Below are 15,811 nucleotides of genomic sequence, written 5' to 3' on the forward strand. Positions count from 1 at the left end.
ACACATTGTTTCATTACTGACATAGACTATGTGGAAATTCATCTCCTCTTTCTGCTCCCAGTTATACCATAGAAATAATCCCTTCTCCCAATGAAATCTTCACTCTCTCTGTCCTGTCAATGCCAAACTCTCTGACAGAGTGGCTTATATTTTATTGCTTTCCTAATTCTCTGCCTTCTGAACCTCCTGTACATCTTGAAATTTCTTTTGTAAAAGTCTCTGATAACTTGTTAAGTACCAAATAAAAGTCTGCATCTGTTTTTCTCTCCAGGATTTGGCTGTGTTGGTCACAATTTCCACTCCCATTCTGAAATTGTCTCTTTCCTAATTATTGACATGCTGCTCAGTTTGGAGTCTCTTAAAATCCTGACCACTTCTCTTCTTAACTGGCATCTTTCTTCTGTCTTCTAGACAGAATAATAAACTATATTCTATTCTCATTTTTATTTCCTTTCTATACTTGCTTTCTTGGCAACCTCACCCACTCCTAGATATTCACCAGTTACCACATGCAGAAGATGCCCAGGTCTTTTATCTAGCCTCTCTTTAAGTTTCAGTCATTTCTATCTACTTGATAAAATGGTACATTTGAATGTGCCATTGATACCTCAAACTTGCAGTCCACTTACATGATCTCCCTCTCTGAAGTTGGTTCTTTGTTCTAGTTTCTCAATTTCTGTGTATGCACTCTGTATTCTTCCATTATTCTAGGTGTGATATCTGAATCTTTTGGCACTCCCCTGCTGTCCCCTGCTTTTTTTCCCCTCTAATCATAAGCTAACTCTTTTTCATTTAAATCTCCAAAATGAACTTAAAATGATAATATGCTATTCAGTATATTAATAGTTTAAACTACTTAAAAACTAGCAGATACATATTAGTAGAATATATGAACATACTTTTTCATAGATAACCAAGCAGATTATTATGTAAAGGTTTTTAGAGAATTACTTCTTTTTTTAAGAGACTGCCTTCAGTCAACGAGATAAATAATGATATGTGACTCTTAAATGGTGTTGTTTAGATAACTTGCTAATAGCTTAAGCTAGTGATTTTCAATCTGGAGCAATTTGGCCCCCAAGGGGATACTTGACAATGTCTGGAAACAGCTTTGGTTGATACAACTGAGCAGATGCTACTGACATCTAGTGGGCAGAGGCCAGGAATGCTGCTGAAGATTGTACAATGCCTGGGACAGCCGCATGATGGTTATTGACCCAAAATGTCCACAACGCTGAAGTAGAGAAACCCCAATTTAAACATATAACTACTGTCATGGCTAAACTGTGTTCCTCCCACCCCAAATTCAGTGTTGAAGCCCTAACCACTAGTACCTCAGAATGTGAGTGTATTTAGAAATAGGCCTTTAAGGAGATAATTAAGTTAAAATGAGACGGTTAGAATGGTCTATAATCCAATTTGATAGGTGTCCTTAAGAGAAGAGGAAATTTGGACACACAAGCGTGTACACACACAGAGAAAAGGCCATATGGGGACACAGAAAGAGGGCAGCCATCTGCCAGCCAAGGAGAGAGGCCTCAGAGGAAACCAAACCTGCAAACATCTTTATCTTAGACTTCTAGCTCCCAGAATTATGGGAAAATAGTTTTCTGTTGTTTAAGCCACACAGTCTGTGGCTTGAATATTTAAAAACAGTTACTACATAACCGTGGTATGTAGTTATCCCAGCCCAAGAAAACTAATACAATTACACTGCAAAAAAAGTCCACTTATCTTCCAGTTTAGTTACAGAAAATTTCTCTGCCTTTGGGTTCTTCTTGGCTAACTCCTTCAGTAGCTCATCTGCCACCCAAACAGCTTTCAAGTTCTTTGACCTCTTTATTTTGCCTTCCGCCCAGTATTATCAGTTGTGATCTGTCATTTATGATGCCACACATCATAGTGACATGGATATGGAAGGTGGTTCAAGGTCTAAATGTTACTCTAACATATCTGTAATATTTTGGTTAATTATCACTAATGTGATATAGAAAAGAACAACTTTAAAAAGGTGAAATGGGAGAAATCTGGCTGACAGGAAGCCCTAATGAATTATTTAAATTTTAGGAGAAAAAAAGAACGATAGAGAGGGAAATTAATTATTCGGCCCAATACTTCCATTCTTCTCTGAGAAGCAAATGTAGCTCCTAAGCTCTACAGTGTCAGTGTGCCTCATTTCTCTGACTTCTGACATAGTAAGTTGATACAGATATACATTTCAAGGAAGCAGATTTTTAATATTTAAAAATGCATATTTAGCAAGAAAAGGAAGGAAAAATAATGAAGCTTGAACAAGAGTGGTTTTACCTTTTCTGCAATTTTCAGAGAAACATCTCTAATGGTATTCAAAGGAGGATAAAGCCGACCCTCTTCCAAGTGTTTATCTGACACTTGCTGAGCTATAACCTTATGAAAAAAAGAAAGAAAAAAAGTGTTTATACTTCACACGATACAATGTGGTGGGTACGCCAATAACTAAGTGAACGGTTACATATAATGGTCTATACAAAAACCAGTGACATTAATATGATTACCTAATTTCATCCCCACTTCTATCAACAAAGAAATAAGCCCAGAGTGGTGTGGTGGTGGTTGAGATCACATAATTGGTGAAAAAGATGGGAATAGAATCTAGGTTTCCTTTTAGTCCACTTCCTTTTCTATTGTACCATGAAATGCTAGATACTTTCCAATTGATACATTAGGGGAACAAGGGAAAAGAAAAGAAAGAAAGAGGAAGATGATAGAGTAATGAAAATGGATCCTGAAAGCAGAGGAGGACAGCTATCCAAGGCTAAGCATGCCATTACTCCCAGCTCTGAGTCATATTCTTGTGCAGGAGGTAGAGCAAAAGGCTGAGAAAGCTAGTTCAGAGTCTCACTACAAATAGGATTTTAATTTTACACAGACTCTGGATTATCTAAATCACCTAATTAGCCTCAACATTTACTGTCCCCAAACCATTCCCTAGTTCCAAATCAAACAGTGTTAAATTTTGTATTGAACCCTAAGGCAGAGAGGGAGACTCAGTAACCCTGATGTTCTCTCCAGCTCTAAGACTTTGATTAAATTTCTAGATGGGGGCAAATCTAAATCAGCTTATACCTAGGCCTTTGTTCCATGAAAATGTGGATGCAGAGAGGGAGTAGGAAACCTTCCTCTTTTGTAACATTTTAAATAATCAAATACTTATTTTTCAGTATATCTTAATATCTTTTAGATTTTTAAATCATGAAATTATTTCCAAAATATTATTCTTTGCCATCAGCAAACATATATGCACTGAACAAGCATAACACTACGGAGAAGCTTAAGAAAAGTGTTATTGTCCTTGAGAGATGTATAATTTAGTAAGGTAACAGAGTACGGGAAGAAAAAGAGAACGCTGAAAGAGAAGACGGCTTAGGCTAATGGTGAAATGTGGGTGCTAAGAAATCCAGAGGAAGAGCAGTTCTGGAAGGCCTTATAGTGCACAGTGGCTTGAAAGGCAAACCTACAGGAAAGCCTGGAGTTAGACAAACAGAAAGTAGGTAGGCATTTCAGACAAAAAACAGAGTCAGACCAAAGGCAGAGTTGTGTGTGAGCTGGACTCAGCAGGCCCAAGTGTCCTGACCTGGGGGAGCAGAGGGTCTGGGTACAGAAATAAGGACTGGAGCATTATCAATGTCAAAAAAGGAGTTTGGAGTTAAATCCCGTCGGTGACTAAGGACTTCTGACCAGGGACATTTAGGCAGAGGTAAGATGGAAAGGAGAAGGAGGTAAAGTTACTAGTATAACTATTTGTTTGATTAGTATTGCTCTACATATTATACAAAATATTATAACATATAATTGTAGGGTGTTGACCATAATTTTATAATAAACTCATCATTTAACTCATTAATTTCTTGCCTTTGTAACAGGATGTTTGCCCTAGAATTGGTCATCAGGGTCCCAAACTTCAGGACAAAGATACGTTAACTATTCCACACTATCAGGAAGTCACCAAACAAGTGGGGCTTGCCATCTACCTCAGAAAGTAGAATCAGCCCTGCCAACCCCACAAACCACAGCCACCCCCTTCCAGAAGGCTGAGCTAGTGAGAGGCAGGGAAATTTGCTGGAACCATGGTTTGGCCTACTGGGTAATGTAGTGGCTTTTTCCTCCCCTCTTCTTGGTGCATGCTACTCCTTCTTAAAGGCTTATGGTGTCCTCAAGGAAAGACTGGGGGGCATTCTTTTCCCCTCCTCAGCGTGAGCAGTTATAGGTATGTGTACTTAAGCAGAGAAGAGAATGGGAAAGGGAGAGCCAGACAGACAGGGTGGCTGTAAGCTGTATACATTCCCATCAGTGGATCTGGTATGGGTACATGAGTTTCCAAGGTCAAGCGGCCATAGCAGAGGAGGCCTCTGCATCCCTGGGGACCTGAAGAAGTGTAAGGAAGCTAGGCTGAAGCCAGACATCCTACATCAGAGGGCCAGATTTGGACCCTGCCAGAGAGAATTAGTGGAGTTAATAATCGAGTTAATAAAAGAGATGTTTGCCCTTTTCCATGCCCTTCCTTCTTTTCTCCAACGTATTTGAAGAAGTAGTCTTTAACAAAAAGAGGGAGGAGGTTTCTCAGAGTCGAGCCAAACATTTCCCCCCAAATTCCTCAAAGTGCTAGCTTCAGAGAAAGAGTAAAAGAACAGATGGGTTTTCTCTAACTGCTACTGCAGGCCTCTCCTACTGCAGGGAGAGGACATGACATTTGAATTGGATATAACATTTTGAACTGCACAGATGTTTAATTGTTGTTCACTGATGTATTCTCAGCACTCAGAATAATGCCTAGCATATGTTAGGTATTTAATTAAAAGAATATTAAAAGAATGAGTGAACTGAAAGTTATGGGCTCTTACCGAAATGGCACTAAGAGAAACAAGAGGGAGAGCTGGTGGAGAATGATTTAAAACAATGACTGGGGCAAAATAAAACCATTTTATGTTAATTGCTCCACTGAATTGAAACTTTTAAAAAACTTTATTAATTCTTGTTGTTCTGCAAAGGAGATGTGGCAGATTTAAATAATAATTTCTTAGATGTTAAAGCAAAAACTTTTCTGGGTGTCAGGTATTGGTATTTAATTGGATAGAACAAAATGAATAGCACAATGTTAAAAAGATGTCAGAGCATGGTGGTTGAAGGCTCAGGCTCTGGTGTGAGGTAGACCTATGTTTGAATTCTAATTCCATCAATTACTGTCTGTTTTGTATTTGGGCAAATTAATTAACCTTTTTAGACCTCAGTTTTCTCATCAGTAATACAGGACTAATAATACTTCCTAATTCATAAGGATTGAATGAAATAAATGCCAGCAAACAATTTACCACAGACAGTGTCTGTCAGAAAAGTATTCAATTAAACTTAGCTATTTTGTTTTATGTATGTATGTATGTATGTATGTGAAACAGGGTCTCACTCAGATTGCCTACGCTGGAGTGTAGGCAATCTCCCTTAGCTTGGGTGATTCTGCCGCCTCAGACTCCCGAGTAGCTGAGACAACAGCTGTGTGCCATCATGCCCAACTAATTTTTTTTTTTTTTTTTTTGTATTTTTAGCAGAGATAGGGTTTCACCATGTTGGCCAGGCTGGTCTCAAACTCCTGAGCTCAAGCGATCCACCTACCTCAGCTTTCCAAAGTGTTGGGATTACAGACGTGAGCCACTGCATCTGGCCAGCTATTTTGTTTTAAAAAAGAACCAATAGGCAGCCCACATGGCCAAATGGAAGCAAAATAGCTTCTGGTGTCAGATCTGGCTCTACAGTGTATAGATTGTTAGCTATTTGATTTGGGGGCAAGTTCTATAACGAATCAACTTCAAGTTTTTTCAACTATTTATATGACATAATATGTGTATTCCACCTATAAACACCAGGACACTGCTGGCATTCAATTTCATTGTTTCTTCTCTAGGATGTCACACAAATGTCATTTTAAAGAGATTGGAGACAGTCACAGGATAGCTGAGTAAAGAAGAATCATTCTGAATCCTTACTCTCCATGTGTGACTGTCCATGATGATTATCTAAAGGGTCCTCTGAGCAGATATCAGAAAGGAGTGGAGCAAGGCAGATGAGAAGACACCAGCCTGTGATTCAGGAGAAGTGGTGTGAAGATAGGAGGCTGAGATTTGTCTCCCAGGTGTGAACAGGATGTGAGGAGTCTATTCCCAGGATACACTACAGACCACACAGGGCCAGGAGGGCTGATCACCAGAGGTCCAGAAGACTGTCTATAGTGCCAGGAAAGCCAAAAATCTCTTCATGATATAAAAATGTCCAGAAATATTCTTTGAGATTGGTGCTAACCCATGACATTTCTAGTTCCATAAGAGATTCAACTAGTATTTTGACAATAATCCTAACAGTTATTAAATTTGTGGTTGCAAAACAAAATATTCAGAAATATCTCCTATATGTTACTTTTGTTAACTACAAAATATAATCTAGACAAGAAGTACTTTTCTTCTTTTTGGGGCCATCTGGTAGTGAACGTTTGTGGTATTGTATTTATTCCTCTTGCTAAGATACATGACTCATTCTATTTAATCCTATTCAAAAAGTATTTACTAATTTTCTGCTTTGTGCCTAGCATGGTGCTAGATACTACTGAAGTTTTAAAAGAAGTATATGGAAGACTCTCTGTCTTTAAAAAAGATAATCTACAGGCCAGGCGCGGTGGCTCATGCCTATAATCCCAGCACTTTGGGAGGCCGAGTCAGGCTGATCACAAGGTCAAGAGATCGAGACCAGTCTGGCCAACATGGTGAAACCCCGTCTCTACTAAAAATACAAAAATTAGCTGGGCGTATTGGCATTGTGCCTGTAATCCCAGATACTTGGGAGGCTGAGGCAGGAGTATTGCTTGAACCAGGGAGTTGGAGGTTGCAGTGGGCCAAGATCACACCACTACACTCCAGCTTGGCAACAGAGCGAGACTCCGTCTCAAAAAAAAAAGATAATCTACAATTTAGTTATAAAGGCAACACCTAATCTTTTACAATAGGAAGCTCTCAGGAGTGTATCATAACCAGAAATAAAATTAAATGTCAAAGTGTGTAATAAAGACAGTCATGGCTACGGAGAAAGATCAAGATGAGCTAGACTTGTCACAAAAAGATTCCAGGATGTGGTGGTATTTAAGCAGTACCCTAAAGGAGAAGCTTAGATCATTGGAGAATAATTCTCAGGTCTTTCCAGACAGGATAAGAGATAAAGCAGTTACACAGGCATACATATGCATGGTGTGTTTGAAGGCTATGGGATGAGGGAGAATGAAAAGAATGTCAAGCTTCTAAGCTTTGCTGCCTGCTTGGAAAGGGGGTATCACTAATAAAAATGTGAATGCTGACAGTGAGGAAAGATAAGGAAGGCTTTCATAATGTTGTGTTTAAGGACACAGTAGGGCATGTCTGTGGAATTACCCAACAGGCAACTGGAGATATGGAAAAAGATGAGAATAGAGATACACAGATTTGGCCACTACTAGAATGAAGATAATAGAAATGAATGAATGAATGAGATCTTTGAAAGCATAAGAAAAAGAGAAGAAAAAACTGGTAACAAAAAATGAATGCTAGAAAAAAAACTCTTACTTAAAAGGGAGATGAAAAGGAGACAAGGAAAATAATGAGTGGGACATAATTTAGATGATATAAAAAACAGGAATATTGTGTTGAAGCCTAAGAGAAAACCAGTAGAAAGGCCAAGAGATGCAGCCAGAGAGATCACTAGCTATGATAAGAATTAGTGATGTGGTATGTTGACAACACCACATTTTTTTTTTCCTTCAAAGTGTTTTTTGGTAGTGATTATTACTTTTCTTGGAGAGTAAACTGAAAATATTTTTCACGGAATTTGTCACTAGAGGGTGCTAGAGTTATTTAAGAAAGAAAACACTGACTACTGCAGGTAACCAAAACTCTGATGTGCCTATTCTAAAAGACAATGATTACATTTTCCTTAATGCAAAAGCTACTTTTACATGCTCTCTTAGTAATTAGACATCCATTTATGTTTAACAAGATTTTCTGAGTTAAAGAAAACCTGTGACATCAGCTGGCATGCTTTTTAATGCAGTGAAGAAAACGACAGGAGAACATTATTGCTTCCAAGCATCTGTTCTCATAGAATGACACCGGGTGCTAGCCACCAAGATTATGCTCCTTTAGATCACATCAGTAACATAAGAATCTTTGTCTACATTCTTGGGGTTCCTCTTCACAATGGAAAAAATATTTGCAGGATAAAAATATTTGAATATCAATCAAGTTCTTTGGATCAGTTCAGCTGCAAAGGTTTAATCGTAAGAAAAGAAATTCACTCAAGTTTCTCATCCATAAATGGTTACCTGTTCAAATCTGAAACATGATATCAACCTGATGAACATCAACCTGATGATTATCAAAAAGCTCATGATTTTATAAATATATGCCCAATCACCGTATCATCCTGCTGAGGCTTGGGAGGAGGAGGGAAACTGATAGGAACATGCAGCTCATGATATCTCTTGTGCCAGGAATTATCAAAGTCCTTTGTCTCTGACCTAAGAGTTTCATGTCTTCTGTCAATATCTATGAAATTGTGGCTAACTTGTTAGCTTGCAAGTAGAGTAAAATCTCAGATCTTTCACAGTTTCATGACAGTACAAGATTCCCCAGTGGGCCTGCTTTGTGATGTTCTGAGAATCTTTCCTCAAGGCCCAGACAGAGCTCACTTCTCCTATTCTTTTAATGATTTTATAAACAACTAATTTCCTATTTTGATCTAATTTCTGCTTAAATACTAGGGTGGTTTCTGTCTCCTGTACTGAACCCTGAATAATAAACATGTCCACTATACCATATCAGACTTTCACTTTAAACCTTCAAAATGCCATTCATTATTAAGCACTGTTCTCAACAGGGAAATATTTACCACTTAATCATCATTTGGAAACAATTTTGTTTTTGCTTTTTTTTAGGTAACAATCTAGCTCTGTAGCCCAGGATGCAGTGCAGTAGTGCAATCGCAGCTCACTGCAACCTCTGCCTCCTGGATTCAAGCAATTCTCCTGCCTCAGCCTCTTGAGTCAGGGGGGATCACAGGCACACACCACCATGCCCGGCTAATGTTTGTATTTTTAGTAGAGATGAAGTTTCACCATGTTGGCCAAGCTGGCCTCGAACTCCTGGGCTCAAGTGATCTGCCTGCCTCAGCCTCCCAAAGTGCTGGGATTAGGGGCATGAGCCACCACACCCAGCCCTGGAAACAATATTTTTAATTGTCCCATCACTGTCACAGAACTTGATCTGATGTGTGAAGACACAAAAATGTTCCTCTTAAGAAATCAAAAACACAATTTTTCTAATGACTACTGAAGAAGAACCTTTCGTTTGTGAGTCAGTATGAACATGCTACCCACCCCTTATACTCCACTGGGAAGTTCTTCAGACTTTACTTCTTTCAGAGAGTAAGCTGAGATGCTAGATAAATAAAACATTAGACAACCTAGGCTGAGCACACTTGGTATTTTAAACCCTTGGTAAACTTAGAGGATTTTACAATACCTCAGCAGTAGTGAGGAAAATATTATCTGTGATCTGCCTCAATCCACACGCCACAACACCAAGAGCAACTCCAGGGAACACATAGGAATTGTTGCCTTGGCCAGGATATAGGGTCTGTCCATTTGGAAGAGTGACTGGATCAAAAGGACTGCCACTGGCAAAAATTGCACGTCCCTACAACAAAGACACATACAACTCACTTTAAAAAGAAGCAGAATATTTTAAAACAAATGTATCATAACAGAACTACCCCACAGCCTAAATTATAAGTACTTAGAAAGAAGTCTAGTTTTTTATTAACTTGCTAATAAGTCTGGACAAGCTTTTGTGATGTTGTGCAACCAGTTCTGGAATGGGTGATTATTACTATTCTCTGTCTTACTCTTTACTTCCAGGAGGAGCATGCAAAGTACAGGATGCCCTAAGACCATCACTCTATTCTCTGCAGTGGTTCAACCGATAGGCTCATCAACCATTTCTATATAGGCTTCCAATTATAGACATCTGAAGATAAAAAATGATGGGCTAATATTTAAGTATTGAAAATAATGATATTTTAGGTTGGGGTTTAGGAATCGACACATTTCCAAAATAAAAACTGGGAAAATCATATATATTTCTATATTGTAAAGAGTTATGTGGGCTAGGCACAGTGGCTCATGCCTGCAATCCCAGCACTTTGGGAGGCCGAGTGGGGCAGATCACTTGAAGTCAGGAGTTTGAGACCAGCCTGGCCAACATGGTGAAACCCCATTTCTACTAAAAATATAAAAAGTGGCTGGGGAGTGGTGGTGGGTGCCTGTAAGCCCAGCTACTTGAGAGGCTGAGGCAGGAGAATCGCTTGAACTCAGGAGGCAGAGGTTGCAGTGAGCCTAGATCACACCACTGCACTCCAGCCTGGGCGACAAAGCAAGATTCCAGCTCAAAAAAAAAAAAAATAAAAATAATAATAATAATAAATAAATAAAATAAAATAAAATAGTTATGTGGAGAATCACATAGGAAACAAACTCATTGGCAGGAGTAGAATTGGCAAGGAAGAAGAAGATTAAGTTATCAATATTTTTCAACAATTGTCTTCATTTTGCCTAGTATTAATATTTTGTCATAATTGTTTTGAGGAATCTCATGTACTGCTTGCTTTAAAAAGGCATGAACTTGGCTGGGCGCGGTGGCTCACGCCTGTAATCCCAGCACTTTGGGAGGTCGAGGAGGGTGGATGACTTGAGGTCAGGAGTTGGAGACCAGCCTGGCCAACATGGTGAAAGCCCATCTCTACTAAAAATACAAAAATTAGCTGGGTGTGGTGGTGGGCACCTGTAATCCCAGCTACTCAGGAAGCTGAGGCAGGAGAACTGCTTGAAACTGGGAGGCGGAGGTTGCAGTGAGCCGAGATCGTGCCATTCATTGCACTCCAGCCTGGGTGACAGAGCGAGACTCCATCTCAAAAAAAAAAAAAAAAAAAAAAAAAGGCATTAACTAGGGCCTGTTAGGTGCTGCATTTCATATTGCTAATCAAAAGAACATTTGTCTGTGATGGTGAGAGTGGACATCTAGTTGAGAGTATTTAGGCTTCAAAGTAGGAATCAGAAACCCTAAACAAATAAAGCATCACAGTCTAAGAAATCTATTTGAAAAGTCTAAAGCATCAAATCCCCAAGGCATAGTTTAAACGATGACAGAATGGGTTTTAACTTTCATATCTCTTGGATCTAGAGTCTAAATAATGATATTAATATTAACCTATTTTTAGCAAATGTCATAATATACCTTTTAGTTGTTCTTAAAGTTGTATAACAGAAATTCAACCTTCTTTGAGAGACAAAAAGATGAAAATAGATGAGGCAGAAAAACAAATTCTCATCTAGCTGTTTATAAGACACTGTTATGTTTTGCACAGAATTCGGTTTTGTTTTCAGACAAGTCTGATACCTTAAGCTCTTTAGCAGATAAAACATTTTGTTATAAACAACTTTCTAATGTAACTAAATTATTACTTCATATATAAAGGTTTTGGAAAATTATATTTGAGAAAGAGGCCTGTAACATTATATATATATATATATATATATATATATCTCCCCCACTCCTGCACTCCCACTCTTCCTGCCTTTCTATAATCACCATATTTTAAGGAGAAATGTCATTAAATAAATGACAGTACTGTAGCTAGCTAAATATTCTCATATATATATGTTATTAACATGGTGAAGGGAACCTTCCCATACCATTTTTAGATTATATTTTTATGGTTCAATAGTCTTTCTGTATATTGTAACTTAACCTTTCCTATCTTCACCTGTGCCTACAGTAGCAGAAACTCACATCCAGCAACAGGCAGACCTTTCCTTTTTCTCCAATCCTTTAGCCAAACCAGTGTCTAAATTTTCATCCTCAAAATAACTTTCAATGTTTTATGTAGAAAAACATAGAACATTAGGCAAGATGATAAGAAAGAGTTGAGGCATACATTTATATCAGACACATTCAAAGTTTAAAATACAACTACATAAATTTGGCTAATTTTGTTTATGTGTGTTATAGATAAGTCTCTTAACCCTTGAGGCCTGTTGAGATATATTAAGACAAAATAATTAATTAAACACTTGTTTATTATATGCCTAGTAGGTGCAAGGCATGATGCTAAGACTTGGTTGTTGCTGAAAGGACTTTTTTTTCCTTTAAGGATTTAAGGACTACTGAATAATGTGAGGCAAATTCCCCAATCTAGAGATGAGATAAAAATTAAAATCAGTGAGAACACTGATGCCATCCCAAATAAGAGAGATAAACAATGGAGTGGCTCCTTGCCAAAAAGAAAAATCACTAATTCTAGTATTGAGCATTTAAGGATATATGATTAAAATAGAGCCATTAAGTTCCAGTTAATGCAGAGTGACATAGCGTTCATGTTTACCTCTCTAGTTCATTTTGGATTTCTTTCCAAAATAAACATTTTAGATAGATATGACTCAACCTCTATTTTGTTGTAATGATATTTTAAAGTCTTTGAAGGGAAAAAAGGCTCCTTTCAGCATATCAGCCAAATACATATTAGTACAAACATGGTATAAAATAAATCATAGTAAAATGTTGAAGCATTGAGGACTCCTATCCCAGTCTGGCTGGATGTCAAGATAGTTGCCCAAATGTTCCACCCATAGTACCAAAACCCAAACCCAGGATTTAGCAAAGCAAAAATAAGGTTGTGGTTTTACATTGTATGCTTCAGTGTTTGGGAATAGCTAGTTAAAAGCTATTTTAATAAGCCTCTAGAACCAAGCTGCTTCCTTTCTATTTAACTTTTATGTTTAAATCTTAGATATCTATTTCCAAATCACTTGTGGAAAATTATCAGTAAAACATTAAAATATGTATTTTATTTTGTTGAAGAAGAGGATTTATACAACATTCTAGAAAAGGAAATAGTTCTTATCCCTCTGATTTGTGTGCTTTTCTTTCCATTTTGGTTGTATAATTTTTAAACTTAAACAGTAAGCACCTTAGATATCCTAGGCCTCCCTATAATGAATAAAAATTTGATTATTAAAATATCTGTTATAGTTTTACTTTACCTTGGTTATTTTGTAGCACTGCTCTGCAGAACATTCTGCTTTGCTAGTTGGATTACTCAAAGCAAAAATAATAGGCCGTTCATTGAAGGCAGCCATATCTTTGAGAATTTGTTCTGAGAATGCACCACCAATTGCAGCAACTCCTAATGAAGAAATATGAAGCTGGTAATTAACACTATCATTGGTTAATTCACACAAGAAGACCATGCCTCAAATCAATGATATCTATCAGCTCATTTTCTAATAGACCCTAAACAAAATGCTATATAAACTATTTGTATTCAAGTATAGTGACAAAAAGAGGCAAGTTTGTTAATGCCAACAATCCTTACAATCCTTAGGGTCACAAATCTACAAATATCTATTAAAAACTAAAGATAATATTTGGCTTCCATAGTACATTGAGTTAGTTACCAATCACTTGGAAATTTGTATCTAATGTGTAAACTTTCTTTATAAGCAATTCTATGAGTATATTTCAGTCTTGTCAGGCTACAAAGCAATTAAGTTTTATAAACCAACGCTATCACTTAAGACAACCATCTGATTCATCTGCAAAAGTAAAGTACCACCCACTGAAGTAACTTTAACAGAAGAATAAAGCAATTAGCATAATGGAAATGAAAAACAATAAGATTATTGACAGAATATATTTTGTAAAAACAATATTAAACACTTAGTAAAGTTCCTGTCATGGAGTAAGTACTTCTTTTATTGTAGTTATCATCATTATTTTCAACGTTGTCATCTGTTTCACAAGAGCTTGTAGGAATGGAGTATAATACAAGGTAAAAATCAAAATTATATATGCACAAAATAAAGAATAAAGTTTCATAAATTCCTTTGAGTTTTCTAAAACCACTTTAAAGTCTTGCACTGCACATGCATTGTGTAAGTACTGTATTAAGTGCTATAAGGAAAATAAAGATTTGTGAGATGTGATCCCTGTCTTCCAGGAGGGTCTTATCTACTGCAGTATTTCTCAACCTCAGCACTATTGACATTTTAGGCTGGATAATTCCTTGTCGCAGGGGCTGTCCAGTGCACTACAGGATATTTAGTAGAATCATTCCGCTGCCTCTATCTGCTAGATGTCAGTAGCCCCTCCCTTTACTCCCTTCCAACCCCGCTACCCTAGTTAAGACAACTCAAAGCTTCCAGACATTGCCAAATGTTTCCTGCAGGGCAAAAATCCCTCTTATTTGAGAACCACTGTCTATCTGGAGTAATCAAGCCTAGAAAAGTGCTGAACGTGCCAGGTATTAACAGGCTGAGTTAGAGGAGGGGGCCATACGCTTCATCTCAGATCAGTAAGAGAAAGACGACAGGACTAAAGTTAAAAATCTAGGTCTCTACAGGGTACTGTCGCTTGAGCGAACGTGTAGTTTTTTGAATTCAAAAAGGCTAAATTATACCTCAAAAATTGGTAGTAAAAAAAACAATCAGGTCAAAATAAGGGGTAGGGGAGAAGGGAGAGGAGAAAATGCTTACCTATGAGGGCAGTTGGTTTTATTTCTTGAACAATGGCTTCTAGGTTCTTCATTTCTTCATGTTCATGGGCAAACTTCTCTTTCTCTTGTGTTAAGGAAGCACGTCCCTAAGTAAAGCCAGTAAGAAAAAATTAAGAATCTGCCAAACATGTGAGGGTCAATAAATTTCGGTACATATATTACAAATATTTATGCTTAACATTTTTATGTATGATGTGTTACAGCTATTCTTAAAATCTCTTCTTCAATTGTCAGAATGTTATTTCATTCATTCGTTTAACAAATATTTATATGTCAATGTTCTAGGCAATGGAGATGTAACAGTGAACAAAACAAAGTCCTTCATTTAATTGATATTAAAAATCCTAATTTTACAGACATGTGAGAACTAGCATTAACAAATGGCCATGCAAAATATAATTTAAATAATTATATTGTTCGTCACACATTGTGTTTTATAGCAGGTCTCAGAATTTGGAGTTGGCTTCAGCTTTAGCCCTACCAATTTATGCTACTGACTAAGAAAAGAATTTGAAGTCATATTTATGTCATTGTTAGATTTTCTCAGTAAGTATGCATTTTATATGTTTTTGTTTTTAATGTTCTGATTATGAATGCGCCATGTGTTATCTAGTAAACATCTAATTATAATATTCTAGCTGCAAATTTTAAAGATTTGACTACATAATGGATCACTGCCTAATTTTATATGGTACTTGATGACTTACAAGTTGTTTTCACATATTTCATTTGATCCCCTCAACAATTCTGAGAAGCAGGACAAGTATAAGTATAGTCATTTTACATATGCGGAAACATGTTCAGAGGTTTTAAGGGACTTGCTCAAGGCAAGAGATTGTACTAGAACTCAAAGCCTTTTCAATATAGCACAGAATCACCCCGGGCAAAAACTTAACAAATAGTATGTCATAGTCTTTGCAAATTGTTAATAATGAAGATAGTACAATTTTCTTTCTTTAAAGGGTATTATCATTTTATTTCTGTTGCTTTTGTTTGTTTGAAATGAGGTCTCATTTTGTCATGCAAGTTGGAGTGCTGTGGATCAGAGGTCACTGCAGCCTTGAACTCCTGGGGTCAAGGGATCCTCCCACCTAAGCCTCTCTAGTAGCTGGAACTACAGGCATGCACCACCATGCTTGGCTAATTTATCATTTTT

General features: G+C 37.3%; 1 protein-coding gene across 1 annotated transcript in view; it reads right to left on the reverse strand.

Moving 5' to 3' along the window:
- ME1 (malic enzyme 1) overlaps window positions 1-15,811 on the reverse strand; it is a 220,650-nt gene that overhangs the window by 3,789 nt on the left and 201,050 nt on the right. The window contains exons 10-13 of the mRNA NM_002395.6: window positions 14,636-14,741; window positions 13,145-13,287; window positions 9,570-9,743; window positions 2,308-2,406 (exon numbers count right to left, since the gene is read on the reverse strand). Of these exons, the coding sequence (NP_002386.1) occupies window positions 2,308-2,406; window positions 9,570-9,743; window positions 13,145-13,287; window positions 14,636-14,741 (522 nt within the window). The remainder of the gene's footprint in view (window positions 1-2,307; window positions 2,407-9,569; window positions 9,744-13,144; window positions 13,288-14,635; window positions 14,742-15,811) is intronic.

This window comes from Homo sapiens, chromosome 6, assembly GCF_000001405.40.
Source record: "Homo sapiens chromosome 6, GRCh38.p14 Primary Assembly".
Lineage (NCBI taxonomy): Eukaryota > Metazoa > Chordata > Mammalia > Primates > Hominidae > Homo > Homo sapiens.